General features: G+C 39.9%; 1 protein-coding gene across 20 annotated transcripts in view, besides 2 other annotated features; it reads left to right on the top strand.

The window, feature by feature from the left end:
* The window catches only part of LDB2 (LIM domain binding 2), a 397,105-nt gene that overhangs the window by 69,485 nt on the left and 311,400 nt on the right, over positions 1–16,220 (top strand). The window contains exon 1 of one of the 20 annotated variants that reach the window (XM_024454280.2): positions 14,917–14,941. The exons of the other annotated variants lie outside the window; for them this stretch is intronic. The gene's annotated coding sequence lies outside the window, so the exon portion shown is untranslated. Of the gene's footprint in view, positions 1–14,916; positions 14,942–16,220 lie in introns of those variants that run through there. 20 annotated transcript variants of the gene reach the window in all.
* Positions 7,666–7,891: a silencer, noted in NCBI's record as "fragment chr4:16822893-16823118 (GRCh37/hg19 assembly coordinates)". NCBI's record gives its function as "represses an EF-1alpha promoter that drives an FKBP-Casp9 reporter gene in an ReSE screen in K562 erythroleukemia cells {active_cell/tissue: K562}" and the evidence as "EXISTENCE:reporter gene assay evidence [ECO:0000049][PMID:32094911]".
* Positions 10,602–11,153: an enhancer, noted in NCBI's record as "NANOG hESC enhancer chr4:16819631-16820182 (GRCh37/hg19 assembly coordinates)". NCBI's record gives its function as "activates a minimal SCP1, AML or CMV promoter by ChIP-STARR-seq in naive H9 embryonic stem cells {active_cell/tissue: H9 hESC(naive)}" and the evidence as "EXISTENCE:reporter gene assay evidence [ECO:0000049][PMID:30033119]".

Raw genomic sequence — 16,220 nt, 5'->3', positions numbered from 1 at the left:
TTTCCTGGATCCTTTTCATTTCTCCAGAGAAGAACTTACTAACACTCTGCTTAGCATGAGTAAGGAAGCAATGAGGAGTTCCAGTGAGGGAGGAGGGGAGTGGGTAGGGCATGTAAGTGCTCTCACCTGAGAATGTAAGTGTTCTTAGCAGAACCCCAATTACCAATCCCGTGCTTCACCCATCTTCTTCAGCCACGCATTCAAGTTCTGAGCCTTTTGGGGGTTCTGTAGTATACACTGGCTCACTTTTCTTTGGTATTCTTTGCTGCAGGGTGCCGTGTTGCAGGTGTCTCCACTTTTAATAAAGATAGGAGTATTTCTCTATTCAATTACCATCTTCCAAGAATTCATTGAATGATCTCACTCATCTTACCTCTTCCATTCCCTTTGGCTCCTTAAGTCACACTTTTTCTGTTACTTCTCTATCATTTCAGATAGGATTTTTTTAAGTGCACGTGGTCTTGCTGTAATTCTAAAATGGAAGTTTCTAGGCTTGCTCTTTCCTTTATCACTATACTATCTCCCAATATCTATCACATGATAGGTGTCCAAACTCTGAGAGAGATACAACAAAAACTTACAGGGGATTCTGCTGTTAAATATTTTGTAATCTAGCACTGATGAAACTGTGCTCATGGACTGTGTACCTCCAACACAGACACACAATCACACATCCAAGAGGAGGGGTTACAGATTATGGGCTAAAAGGAGGTAACTCTCCTAACTAGAGGTATCCAGAAAAGCACACTGGAGGAGGTGGAAGGAAATGTATTTAAGACTAGGGAAACAGCGTAAGCAAAATCCTAAAGGCAGAGAAGTGTAGGGGCCAGAGAAAAAACAGAGTCCATCCGCTTGACTTGAGTAAAGGAATGCAGGAATGTATTGATACATGAATCTGGCTGGGCACCAGGTGGAGGCGAGCCTTGAAAGTTTGATTAGAAGTTTGAGTATTATTTTATCCTAAGACGATGGTTTGCCACTTACATCCTGCTAACAGATGGCATAAAGAGCGTCTGTAAGAACTGAGGTGGAGCTTCTAGAACGAGAGGATTGGAGAGCGAGGAGAGCAGATGGAAGCATCCTGGGGAAAGGGAGGAAATGCAGCTTTGGGACTGGAAGGGAAGGAAATGGTTTGGTGGAAGTGGGAGGTGGAATGAGAGAAAGATTCCAGAAAGAGACAGGAAGTACAAAAGTGGCAACAACCAAGAGTCAAAGAGGAGAAAACCAGCTGCTCCTTTCTGCCTGATGGCCGTTAGGAGATAAGAGGATACGAAATCCTGAAAGGGTCGGGAGGTCTGGCCCAACCAGTGTGTCATCTGGCCAGGGCCCAGGTACTGGCCACTCTGAGGCTTTTCCGTGAATCTTTGTGATCCTCCTTGTTTCTTTTCAACCCTCCAGTTGTCAAAGCATAGACATATGTGCAAAATTTTGAAATAAGAAAAGCAAGATCATGTTGATCTTGCAGTTCTGGCAAAATGTGAATATTGAACTGCGTGTAGACAAGAGAATTTTCTTGATCTATTCACATTCCACATTACACACACACGTATGTATATTTCTGTTTTTCCAAAATAAGGCCTTTTTGACACTAATTTGCCTAGCAAATCTTATGAACTAAATTGAAAGCCTTGCAAAGCCTATTGCCAAGCATCTCAGAATTGTAGTCTTTGCTTAACCAGTTATCCTTGTTCTCATCCTGTTTTGTTTTGGTTTGGTTTTTTAGCTTTTCCAAGTATGGTAGGAAAATTCTGAATACGTTTAAGAGCAAAAAAAGAGTAGCATCTTTTCAGATGCATCTTAGCACTTATTTCTTTCATCTTGCATAGCTCTACACTCCTTTTTAAAATCTCAACCTGTATCCAGCCCTTCTGAATTGCCTCTTATTCTGACACTGTCCTCCTGCTGTCTCTGCAATGCTGCCCCGAGTGGAGCTGCCTTCTCTGCTGATGAGAGAGACGGGTAGTGCCTTCAAGGAGATATCCATGAAGCGCAACTTGTGATCTGGATTCTTGTTTCTTGGTGATGGGGTTGTTTTTGTATTTTACCAGCACTCCTTTAAGTGTGGCAGGATGTAATGATGAATAGCAAATAAGAATTTTCTGTGCAACTGGTTTGCACTTTCTTCAGACTTCAGGTTCTCACGAGGGAATCTTCCTTTACGTTCCTGTCTCTGAATCATGATTATGATTGAGCTTCTACACCAATCAAGCCTAGTTTAGTATTTAATCAATCTCAAATTACCCGCCGAGTTGTTGCAGTTCAAATGTCAGTCTTGATGCCTCACTAAGCTCCTTCCATTTGCATTTAATATACCTTTTCAATTCTTTTTCTCCTTTATTTTCCTTTTTTTTTTGTTCTGCCCTTTCCCAAATGTTTAAGCTTGTTGAAAAGAGCAGATTTTCTCAAGCATTTGCAGTCAAATGAATAAGCTAATAAATCATAAATGGGCTTAGAAAGAGGATTTTCCCTTTTCACGGTGTACATTAGAGCTAAGGTTTAGCAGTTGTTGGAAACGCTTGTTGAAGAACTCTGTCTATCTTATAAAACCTTTTGCGGGAGGAGCCTGGCTCACCAGAGTGAGGCAGAAAGAATTTCAATGCACTAGAAAGACAATGTCTTTTGCATAACAATTTAATCCATCCATTCATTTACTGGTGAATATTCATATTCTGGAGGTAGAAATTTCAGGATTTACACATTGGTGGAAATAGGAAATGTAGATGAGCCCCAGGTAAGGTAATATTTATGTTTTTGTTTTAAATGGCCAGAATCTCTTCAACTGAATTTCATTTTTGTCCTTTTGCTTTTGTTTACACTGAAATAAATATGACTTGGAAGGTTATAGATGCTGAACTATTGGGACTAGAAGTTCTCTGAAGACTTTCATTCTGTGACAATTATGTGATTTAAAATCAACCTGTCCAATTATGATTCGAATATTGTTTTAGTCTCAGTGTTATAGCTATCTCATCTATCTAATCTATCTATCTCTGGATCTATGTATCTATCTATATCTATCATCTTTATCTCCTATCTACATATTAGATAGATTAATATTTCTCTATCTAGTCTATAATCCATTAGTAGATTAGATAGATATATATAACATTAGGGCTAAACTAAATCAATATTAGTGATATTAATTTATACATAAATAATAGAATATATAATGATAATATATAATGAATATACATGACGTATTATACATACATAGGCACATATATATAAAATTAGTTTCATAGGTGATTTATAAATAAACTATATTTTGGTGCTTTAATTGTATTAAGGCTTCCTAGAGAAAATGAAAATTGCTGTTTATTAACCATTATGGGAAAGAATTTGCCTGTGTATTGTATCTCATATATCATTTAATTCCTATGTTCAGTAACAACCTCATGAAGCAGAGAGTGAAGCCCATTGCCCAGAATTCCCAGGCCGTGCTCTGGATGTTTTTCTGTTTCACTAGAGAGGCCAAATGATGTCATTTCATGAAGTCCCACCTATTGACTGGTTTGGCTATTGGAAACATTGTAAACCTGGGCTCAGTTTAAAAAAAAAAGAGTGGCCTCACTTACATGCAATGATTGTGGTTCCCTCCATCTCCCTATATGAATAGAATTAGAGTCTAGAATTAGAAGAAAAGGAGCACTTTTCTTCTTTACCCGCATTATGTGGCCTTGCAAAGACCCACATGAATTACAGACTGGATGTGGCCAATAGATATTCAAGGTACCCTGCTTGCCTTGGGGATTCAATGCACTCAGAAAGGTTAGGGTCTTCAAGTATTCCTCATTCTCTGGGTCATTAACCTGGAAAACCCTAGCTTCTGTCTTAGAATTGCCATTTTGGCTATAATTTGTTATTTCTGGTTAATCTCTTCACTCAGTAAATGGCCTATAGATTTAGACACACTGAGGATTCATATTAGGAATAATTGGAGCTGTTTATTCCAAGTTGTTAACAGGTCTCATTATACTATGAAACAGGTCGCTTCCTTTTGCCTGTGGTGTCCTTCCCACATTATATCTGCTAGGTGAGCTACTCATCATTCAGGGTCTCTCTTTCCAGCCACCCCCTCCAGGAAGGCTGCCTCCCTCAGATTTCCTAGGCAGTATCTCAGCTACCACTGCATTGCAAATACTTCCCTGTTATCCCACATGTATTTACTCTGCATCTACCATATACCAGGTACTATTTAGGTACCATTAACATGTATGACATCACAGTGTAATGCTTTCCTTGTTTTATCTCTCCCTCATGTGGCTCTAAGCAGGCTGAGATGCTCACTGTCTTATTCACTTTCCTATCCCCAGCAACCAGGCTCATGCCAGGACATGGCTGGCACTCAATAACCATGTGTTGAGTTAAGGAAATCCCTGTTCAGTCTTAAAAGCATGGGTGAACACCCGTGTTGTGGGTAAATTCTTCAGAAATTGGATGGATTAAAGATGCCTAAACTTTGCCAGTGAGGAGAGTGTGTAGAACCAGGGAGTTTAACAGTTATGAACATGGACTTTGGAACTCAAACAAAGTTTTGACCACATAGGTGTAGGTTCAAATTCCACTTTGCCTCTTGGACAAAGACACTTAAGTGAAAAGCAAAATGAGGATGATAAAACCTACTACATAAGATTGTTATGTGGATTAGATGAGACAATGTTTGGACAGGTCTCAGCACATAGTACTACTGAATATGTGGCATTCATTATTTACAGCTTTACTGGGTTGTACAAGCATTCGTGCCCTGACTTTCATTTGCAGTATCTCATGTACTCATCCCAACAGCTCGTCAAGCAACTTGGCCAAGGCGTGTGGGTGGCATGTGGTATGATTAATTTTCTAACTCAAGACTTCTAAGTCTAAAAGCTAGTGATATTTAACTTGTACTATTCTGCTTTGTATGAAAGCACATTTGTGTGCATACACACACACACACACATACACACACACAATCTCTCCCCTAATAACTCTTATTAATTTTTCATTTGTGTCTAAAAACCAAAGGACGGTGGTCTGCCCTCCCTCAAATGGACATCCCAAAGTGGCGAATGGTAGTGTCTTACATTCTACGTGTTGAGCAGTACTTTTATTCCTAAATTTGCCTGCCTCTGTGGAATTTGAGTATAGTATCACTTTGCAGTGCCGCACAGTAACTTGTGTTGTGATGTGGTGTTTATAAATAGATGTAAATAGTTAACACTTCTTTGAAAACGAATCAAATCCTCACTTATAGCCTTTATCAACCAGCTGGTTCTTGTAAGCATCTTCCCGGTCTGTGTGCAAACATTACTTTTAAGTGATCAGCTGGCATAATTAGGTAAGATTGTACACTAGAAGCACAATTCAGTTTTCTCTTCATCTTGGCTGGAAGAAGAAACAAACATCAGGGGTGATGATATGATGGTAAGTTAGATGTGGGAGATTTTTCCTGCAGCTGCAGTACCTTGCTAATCATCAGAGCTAGTTATTTATTTATTTCTTTTTCTGTTTCAGTTCAAAGGTATGGCTTTGTGGAACCTCAGGCAGAGAGGTAATTACGAAGCCTGGTACTATGGGTGCAGGCATCATCACTGGCACAGAAAGCAGCTTGGCTGTGGTTAAGCTTTGTGTTTTATTTTCTATCTGGATGTTTTCGCATTTAGTGCTTTCTCCTTTTAAAAAAAAATGTACTTAAAACTCTCATTGAAGACTTAAATCAGGTTCAGGGAAATTGAATTTAAGACCTGGCCAGGGATGGGATTGGATGCTGTGACTTCAGAGACAAGATGTTGTTAAATGGGTAAGAAGATGTTGAGCAAGAAAACCAACAAAACAAACTTGATGAAGTCAAAAGAAAGTGACTTCTTATCTCGGGATAAGAAGACCAACATTCAAACGTTGGCTTTGGCCATTGGGCAGGTCACTAAACCTCCTCACTTGACTTCATACTCTGATCTGTAAAATGAGGCTTTGTAAATCATCCCCAGATGTATTGACTGCCTGTTGTGAATCAAATTCTATGGTGACAGTACTGATGTGATTCTTACCTCGTGGAGCTCAGCTGCCCAGGAAGACAGACAAATTGTGCTTATATCAAGTGTGCTGTGAATCCTGGCAGGAGGAGTGCCGGACATGATGAGTTAGCAGGGCTATGTAGTTATTCTCTTCACTGACTCTGCAGCTAGGCTATCTAGGGTCACAGCCCTCACTGATTTGATCAGCTGTGTGAACTTGAGGAAAACACCAACACCTGCTTAATTGGGGTCCTGCAAGTATTAAGAATACTAATAGACATGGAATATGTAGACTATCTCCTGGCACATAGTATGTGCTTAGTAAATACTGGTTGTTAATATAAGAGCACGTGGTCGGGCACGGTGGTGCATGCCTGTAATCTCAGCACTTTGGGAGGCTGAGGCGGGTGGATCACTTGAGGTCAGGAGTTCAAGACCAGCCTGGCCAACATGGTGAAACCCTGTGTCTACTAAAAATACAAAAAATTAGCCGGGCGTGGTGGCACGTGCCTGTAATTTCCAGCTACTTGGGAGGCTGAGGCACGAGAATCACACCAGGAGGCAGAGGTTGCAGTGAGCCGAGATCGTGCCACTGTAGCACTCCAGCCAGGGCGAAAGAGCAAGACTCTGTCTCAAAAAGAAAAATAATAATAATAATACAACAGCACATGACAGAGAAAACTAAGATTATGTAGAGAGTATGGGAAGACCAGACCCCTGAGAGGAAATATTTAAACTCAGACCTAAAAAAAATTCCGTGGACACTCTTAAAGACATCCTCCACTTGACATACTCTCTAGGTTAGCTGACATGCTTTCTTTCCTCTGTAAAACATTGTTTGTGCCCTAAGCTTATGGCCATTAGTCATGCTATCTCTGCTTTAACCAATGGTCTATTAGCCTACCTACTACCAGGCCATTTTATATCAGATAAAAGAATATCTACTGTAAAAATAATAGTTAATATTCATGGTGGCAGACCCTAGACACAGATAGCAGCTGAGCTGTACATAGGCAAGTATATATGAATTATCTCAGTCAACTTTTTTTTTTTTTTAACAATCCTAGTAAGCCTTCTTTTGATGTCCATTTTACAAATGAGACCTTGAGGTGATAAGCTACTAAGTAGCAGAGCTAAGATATGAGTCTAGGTCTCTCTGGGGCTAAGCCTGCTCAGCTGAAAGCTCTTGGGAAATTTGTTAGGTGGAAAAAGTGAGTGTGAACATTCCAGAAAAAGAAAACTGTTCAAAACCTCTAAACTGAGATGGGTTCCAGGAGTCCTTCCTTCCAGCTCTCACGTTCATTATTTAATCATAGAGGCCACTAGTTTCACTGTAGAAAATGAGGCTTAGAGAACCTGGGCGATTTGCCCAGTGGCTTTACCTTATAAATTCCTGATTTTTTTTTTTTTTTTTTTTTTTTGCTTTAATGTTGGAATGGTTTCCATTTTCAGGTACCAAGGATAAAATTCAAATATTCCGGCCGGGCGCGGTGGCTCACGCCTGTAATCCCAGCACTTTGGGAGGCCGAGGTGGGCAGATCACGAGATTAGGAGATTGAGACCATCCTGGCTAACACGGTGAATCCTCGTCTCTACTAAAAATACAAAAAAAAAAAATTAGCTGGGCGTGGTGGCGGGCGCCTGTAGTCCCAGCTACTCGGGAGGCTGAGGCAGGAGAATGGCGTGAACCCGGGAGGTGGAGCTTGCAGTGAGCCGAGATGGCGCCACTGCACTCCAGCCTGGGCGACAGAGCGAGACTCCGTCTCCAAAAAAAAAAAAATAAAAAAAAAATTCAAATATTCCATGTAGACGGCTAGTGGTTTAAGAGGCTATGAGCTCTTTTCTACCTTTTTGAAAAACAAAATAAAAATAACACTCTTGATACCAAAACTTGCACTGAAACTCTCAGGATAGCTAGATCAATGCTTCCTTTATGTTAATTGCTTCCAAACCTTCCCTGTCTTTAGATTGAGTGGGAATGATGACGGAGCGAGAAAGCGAGACAATTTAACACGGAAGAAGGTGCCAAATGGGTAAAATATTTTGCAGAAAATTAGCTCCAACTTTGCACATTCTCTACTGTCAAAAAATAATGAGTATTTTTCTTTTATAGCTGTAAAGCAATTGATGAGTGGTCAATCCATTTAAAAATTATCAACTCATAATAAAAAGTTAAAAAAAACTGTAAACATTTAGTATGTGATAAGACCATTGCCAATGGAAATTTGCCATTTAGAGAAATTAGGCTTTTGGGGAGCGGTGGGGGAAACATCCCTTATACCATTAAACATTATCATTCTGATCTTTGTCCTAAAGTGACTTTAAAAATAAGATTGAAATATTGTCGGACCATTTTGAGTATGTACTGTGCAGAAAAATTTTACTCTATTTTCCTTCTGTTCTCTGTTTTTTTTTCTCTCAAAATTTGGAACAAAAGGGATTAGAGTTAAAAGCATGAAGAACAAGCTCTTTAAATGCTGCATATTCACATGAAGAGAAAGCGTGGTACACATGAGCTTCTTTACAGAGAACATGCCAGGCGTATTTCCTCTGGAGCCTCTGCCCTAACAAGTTCACTGCCAGGAAAGCTCTGCCCGGTATGGGGCTGACTCCTTCCTGCCATTCAGATCTCAGCCCAAATGTCACTTCCTTCGATGTTCCCTTGACCTGCACTGCTGAAGTCATCACTGACGGTTTTTCCCCCTCTATAACACTTATCACAATCTGCAGTGATCGTGTTCCTTTGTTTTCTTGTTCCTCCCTTGTCTTCCCCCTCAGCTAAGCTGTAAACTCCAGGGAACCTGCTCTTGTTCACCAATAACAAGAGCAGTGAGCAGTGCCCAACAGAAAGTAGATCCCCAATAAATATTTTTGAATAAATGAATAATAAAAAGTGCTTTAAAAATACTAAACTACCCCCCCATGAATGTATTATCATGCAAAAATTGAAATCAGAAAAGAAATTTAAAAGTCTAAGACGATATTTGGTCACATCATTTCTAAATTTTTTGAGTAAACAATATCTTACATTTTCCCCAAAAGTCCATTTGAACTTTATTCCTCATGTACTATTTACTTGAGTGCCAATTTCTCACAATTTTAGAAATTAATATTTTGCAGCATAAAGTACTTCTGCACGTAGAGCAAAAAATATATCATGCTTGTTGGCTGACTACACAGGAAAGAGTCTGCATTATTTTAGATTTGAGAGGAGAAAAATTACTTGGTCCCACATTCTGACCAACAGAATCCAGAGGATCAGAGAAACAAGGTCATCCGCAATTTATGTTGACTCTTAATACTTCCAAATAGGTGCTTGTCAACATTTGTAGAACTGCTGAATCATGGAATTTCAGTGCAAAAGGAAACTGATTCATTCACCTCCTTCAGTCCCCAATTCCAACACTTGAATCCCTAGATCGCTGCTTTAATTTTGCAGATGGTATCCTCTGAGTTAATTTAGCAATGTATGATATTGCTCACACTTGTGTTTTAAAATATTCCCTTGAGGTTTAATTTCTAGACATCATTATATTTAATAAAAATTGAATTGTGTTACATCTCAAATTGGAAGGATGGTTCTAATGCTTTTTAGAGAGTACAATTTCATTAAAAAAAAAATACTGCTTGAAATGAATACAAAATACATGACCTGGGTCTTGGGAATATTTTCTGTGCAGAAATTTCTTTTTTTTTTTTTTTTTTTTCCTGAGTGCAGGAAAGTGAGGTTCAGGGAGGGTTCTTCTTTGACCAAAATCTGACCTAAAGTACTGAATGTTTTTGGGGTTTGAATAATAAAATATGAACTGATAAATATGTCAGATATAACCTAACAAATGGCCATTTTATTCAGGGTCTTGTTCGAAATGAATTAGATATAGCCTCTGTTTTATACAAAATTATGATAGAAATTATGAATGTTCCCAGAATTATTTCTTTTAATTTAGAAAGAATCATAAAAGGTCACCTAGCCCAGTGGCCTTCACACTTTTCTATCTGTAACCTATAGCAAGAAATGCACTTGTATGACATAGACCTGTACACACACACACACACACACACACACACACACACAAGCAACCACAACTGAAACGAAAGATTCACAAGCAGTACTCATTCTTTCTGCATGAGATGTACTTTACTTTCTATTACTTTGTTTAAAAAATGTTGGCTTTGCCTTTATACAATACACTGATTTCAAGTCACATTCAGAAAACAATAATCTGGCCCAAACCATTTACTCTATAGATTGGAAGACCAAAATCCAGAGAGAGCAGCAACACTGCCTAGCTCATACTAAATTCAAGTAACCCTGTCTTGAAATTGAGTGTGATAGTTAACATACTGTCTTTATCCCCATCAATGGTCCTATACAATAAGAAGAAACTACAGTTTAGTCAAAGAGAAAAAATATATACAACTTCCTTCTTGGAGCTGAATCCAGGTGCTTCATTGGGTAGATTCTCTAACCTCTTTAAGCCTTACTGTACTTATTTTTTATAGAGGGATTTAAACCCTCATCGTAACAAGCCTCACCATAGCCCTGGTAGGTGGTCATTGAGACAACAGGAATGAAATGCCTAACATAATTCCTGGCTCACGTTCTTCTATTTTACTTATAAAAGAAGTCAATGAAGGAAAATAAAGAACAACAAATGATCAACAAATTCAAAATATTGTATTTTGACTCAATTGCCAGAATGTTAACTTTCTCTATAATACCTGGTGTGGCAGAGTAGGATGATCACAGATTCATTGACAGTTCTCCCATTGAGAATGTGGTCCATTTCCCCTCTCTTTGCGTTCTGCCTGGAGTGGGGCTGTGTTGGGTAAGAATGTGCTGCAGGCTGTGAAAGTGACACACTGCCAGCTCTATCTCTAGTCTTTAAGTAGACTGATAGCTTTCACCTTGATCCATTGGAGTACTGAGCCTTGTGAGAAGTGTAACCACCCTGCTAAGGAACCATGTGGGGAGATTGTGGTACTACACAGAGAAAGAGAGAGGTTCAGCAGAGGCCCGGCCTTCCAGTTATCCCCTTTGAGGGGCCAGGCATGTGGAGAGTCTCAAGGACTGTCTAGGTCAGCCCAGCCACCCTCCTCCCATCAGGCTGAGCGTCACCTAGTTTAAACCCATATGATGCTACATGGAGCAGAGAATCACTTAGCCAACCCATTGACCCACCTAATTATAAAATTTAGGAATATAATTGTTGTTTTAGGCTACCAAAATTTTGGGGTAATTTTTTTTTAATTTTTTTATGCAAGAATAGATAACCAGAAACACTCAAGTTGTTACAAATAGTTCAAGTAAGCAGTTTCCTAGAGGCAGCATGATACAAATTCTGGAGCAAGACTCACTTGATTGACTCCTTGCGCTCGATACTTAATTGATTTATACCTCAGCTTCCTCATCTTTAAAGTGGAGATAATTATTATACCCACCTTATATGATTACTTTGAGGATTAAAGAAAGTCAATACTGGTACACAGAAAGTACTTAGAACAGGACCTTCCACATAGAAAGCACTATGCAATTATTATTATTCTACAGCAAAGAAATATATATTTGAACACTGACTTAGATTACAGCTCAGAGGATTGGGTTTTACTGCTGTTGGATTGTGAGCAGGGCTTTGCTCTACATTCCAGGTCTCTTGAAATCTGACTTGCAAAATTAATTCAAACTGGCCTTAGGAATGAATATCCCCATGGGGCTTAAAAGAGATAAAAAATTGTAAACAAAGGGCAAAGAGACAGGACATTTGTCAGAATGGCATTTAGTAGCAGGGCCACTGTTCTTTAACATTAGTGAGGTGGACAAGAGGTTGAGTAGCACATTAATCATATTTGTGACATCAAATCATGCGGAAGACTGGGGAGAATAGGAATTATATCTCTCTATCAGGAGAGAGTAGGAAGTCGAGCTGGGAAAATGAAACAGTAAGATTAAGTGTCGTAAAGTTCAAGATTTAGAATTAGAGCCATTGATACATCGATCCTTTACAAAAATATGTTTTGAAGCATTTTAGTTGAACAAATATTTACTAAGAGTGCGTTACATGCCTGGTATTGTGCTCAAAAATGGCAACTTCTAGCAACTCCTTCACAGGGCCTGTTCCCCCCACAAAGAGCTCATGGTCTTGTTGGCGATGCAATACTGAAGCCAATAAAAATAATACAGGGTGGGGGGTGCAAGAACAGATATAAGTACAGGGCGCAGATGACATACAGATGAGGGACTGAATGTTTCTACTTAAGGTGGTATGCACCACAAAGGATATGTAGACAAAAAGTTTGAAAAACTAGAGAGAGAAATGGGAAATTGAGACTATATATATAAAGACAAAGAAATAAAAGACTGCAAGAGAATGAGATTTGGCTGTGCCCTTCTTGTTGTGAAGGACAAAAAAGAAAACAGGATGAGTTAGAAGCTGTTGTCAGAGAAAATAAGAACTAAAGTCAAGTGTAGTGGCTCACACCTGTAATCCCAGCACTTTGGGAAGCCAAGGCGGGCGGATCGCTTGAGGTCAGGAGTTTGAGACCATCCTGGCAAACATGGTGAAACCCTGTCTCTACTAAAAATACAAAAAAATTAGTTGGATGTGGTGGCAGGCGCCTGTAGTCTCAGCTACTTGGGAGGCTGAGGTGGGAGAATCGCTTGAACCCTGGAGGCGGAGGTTGCAGTGAGCTGAGATCGTGTAATTGCCCTCTAGCCTGGGCAACAGAGTAAAACTCCATCTCAAAAAAAAAAAAAAAAAAAGAAAGAAAAAGAAAATAAGAACTAAAAATGAAGATATAATTGAAGAAAAGTGATTCATGACAAAGGCGTTTTTGAACTTGGGAAATGCATTGCTATGTGTTTATATATTGATAAGTAATATGTATTAATACCATGGATATCCACACATACAGCATTTGCATAGCCTTTGGAAGTAATAGGATTTTTTAATTTTTTATCTTTTGGAGACAGAGTCTTGCTCTGTCACCCAGGCTGGAGTGCCATGGCGTGATCGCTCACTGCAACCTCCGCTTCCAGGGTTCAAGTAATTCTGCTGCCTCAGCCTCTCAAGTAGCTAGGATTACAGGTGCCCACCACCACACCTGGCTAATTTTTGTATTTTTAATAGAGACAGGGTTTCACCATGTTGGCCAGGCTGGTCTCGAACTTCTGACCTCAGACGATCCACCCGCCTCGGCCTCCCAAAGTGCTGGGATTATAGGCATGAGCCACCGTGCCTGGCCTGAAGTAATATGATTTTAAGCCAAATATATTAGAACTCTTCATTTGTTTATTTATTTCCTTTCAGTGAAGATGATACAATGGAAAGACCACATGTCACTGTTCTTTCAGAGCTGACAGTTCAGCTGAGCAACAATCATTAATAAAATAATCATGTCAGCATACAGTCACAACTTTGTCATCTTACGAGCAGAAACCTAGGGGAGCTGTGAGAGGGGGAACTGGAATCTAGTACTGAGAGCTTCTTAAAGGGATTCTTCCCTAATTCAGAGACTTTGTCTTGAGACTTGAAGAGTGGGTTCTGTAGGTAGGAAGAGGAGAGGTGGAAAAGGCTGTAAGACAGACTACAGCCTATTCAAAGGTCCTGTAGTCAGAGGATCTTACAAATCAGTGCTTGTGAAAAATAGAGGATTCACTGGAAAGGGTACTAGATTTCAATAAACACCACATAACCTTAGATGGAAGTGTCTTGGATTTACTCTAGCTTCAACAGAAACTCAGGGGTAATTAAGACTCCAGTGAAATTTGGATTGTGTAAACCTTGGATCTAGGAGAAACAATTAAAAGAGGCTCTTCTATGTCCTCCACACACACCTCCCCATACCCTGACAATGTCACTAGTTTCAGGGATAGTTTAGAGGTAGACTTTTAATCTGAAGTATTTGGCCTGGTTAAAATTGTGATCAACACAGTATTATTATAGCTTTCAGCTGGAAAACCTGGTTCTAAATCCAGTGGGATTTTACACTGTCTTCCCAATGGCAAACCTGATTAATGCAATGAAAAACACAATACTTTGCCTTGGACTTGCAATTAAAAATGTTTATTAAAGTTCATGCTCTCCTGCTTTGTGATTATTTTCAGAGTTGATGTGAACAAATAAGTAAATTACTGCATTTGAATGATGTGAATACATAGAATTGTGTTTCCCCAAATGCTCTTCTCCATAAATCGGGCATTGTTTATTAAAAGGAAGATACTTTTGCTTTTGAATGGAGCACTAATGTTTTTTTCTTCCAACTTCTGCAAGTTCGAAAAAGAAAGGTTGCAAATCTCACTCTATTTTCAGGACCCAGGAAGTTTTGTTGTTTCTCCAAATAACTCTGATTTGCCTGTTTTCTGATGCCTATCACTTTGTACCCCCTGATTCTAGCACTTTGTCATATCCCCTTTTTTAAAAACTCTCTTAGGTGCTTATAATCTTTTCATCCTGGTCATATTCCAAACCATAATTTCTAGCATAGCAGCTGGCAATTGAAAAGCTCTCAATATCTCTGTTGATGGACACATTGTCTATATTGTTGCATCAGCTAGGGCTCTTAAGTTGCAGAAAACAGAATGTGACTCCTGTTAACTTGAGCCAGAACATAAATTATTGGAGGATTACAGGGGTTGCTCATATAATGGGCAGGGAGGCTGAAGAATCAGGCTTGGGGGAGTTGGGAACGAGCAGATAGGATTTAGCAGCAAAAATGATTTCATGGTTTTATTCAATTGCAGTCTCTAGATGGAAACCATTTTTTTCTTCTGAACTTGTGTCCTGCTATTCAAGATTCAAAGTCACAGGAGAGAGAATCCAACTGTCTGAATCTAGGTTCTGCTATTGACACATGGTTGCCCTGGAACAGACGAGTAGCCACAGGACTCCCTCAGCTTCCGCGGGTAGCTTGGTTCATTTCCCAACCTGGCCTGTGCACACTAAGCAAAGGTAATTTTCCAGAAGCAAAATCACAGGGCTGTTAGAAAAACAGTATCCCTGGCCGGGTGCGGTGGCTCACGCCTGTAATCCCAACACTTTGGAAGGCCGAGGCGGGCGGATCACGAGGTCAGGAGATCGAGACCATCCTGGCTAACAAGTGAAACCCCGTCTCTAGTAAAAATACAAAAAATTAGCCAGGCGTGGTGGTGGGCGCCTGTAGTCCCAGCTACTCGGGAGGCTGAGGCAGGAGAATGGCCTGAACCTGGGAGGCAGAGCTTGCAGTGAGCCGAGATCGCGCCACTGCACTCCAGCCTGGGCGACAGAGCCAGACTCCTCTCAAAAAAAAAAAAAGAAAAGAAAAGAAAAGAAAATCAGTATCCCTGTGGGTAGCCCCTTTACCCGCCAAAGCCCAAACGAACAAAACAAACAGATATGTCTATTGCAGATGGAAATAACTCCATAATTAATGAAATTGAGTTTGTTTTGGCCTCTAACTTGCTGGTGAGCTTGGGTGTGTCATCCTCTCTGGTCCCCTCACTGTCTTGCTTATTAAACTTGGTAACTTTGAGTTCTCTACCTCACCAGACAGTTGGGGGGACTGTAGAAGATAATGTATCTAAGAGTGTTTTGTAAATGAAAAATATCATATAAATGCAGAATACTCTTACAGATTTTTGTGCAGGAGGTGTTTGATGAATGGAATTGAGAGGTTGACTCCTCTCTTGAGTGTTGAAGCTCCAGAAAACATATAAAGGTGACTTTCTCTCATTTGCATCAAGTATTCTAAAGATAATAATAATATTGTCTCGTATTTACTGAGTATTCACTATGCATTGGGCTCTCATTGAAGACTTCTTCTATGTCCTACTCACTTAATCCCCACAAAAACCCTATTGTTAGTTAAATGCTATGAATAGTCTTATCATACAAATGAGTAAACTGAGGCTGGGCACAGTGGCTCACACCTGTAATTCCAGCACTTTGGGAGGCTGAGGCAGGTGAATCTCCTGATGCCAGGAGTTCTAGACCAGACTGACCAACATGGCGAAACCCCATCTCTACTGAAATTACAAAAATTAGCCAGGCATGGTAGTCCCAGCTACTAGGGAGGTTGAGGCACGAGAATTGCTTAAACCTGGCAAGGGGAAGGTTGCAGTGAGCTGAGATCGTGCCACTGCACTCCAGCCTGGGTGACAGAGCAAGACCCTGTCTCAAAAAAGAAAAAAAAAAGAGTAAACTGAGGCACGCCTGCTTCAAAAGTGTCTGTCATCAACATCTTTCTCTAGCT

Source organism: Homo sapiens, chromosome 4 (genome assembly GCF_000001405.40).
Source record: "Homo sapiens chromosome 4, GRCh38.p14 Primary Assembly".
NCBI classification, from domain to species: Eukaryota; Metazoa; Chordata; class Mammalia; order Primates; family Hominidae; genus Homo; species Homo sapiens.
Note: the sequence above shows the minus strand (reverse complement) of the source record. Positions and strands in the feature narration are given on the sequence as shown.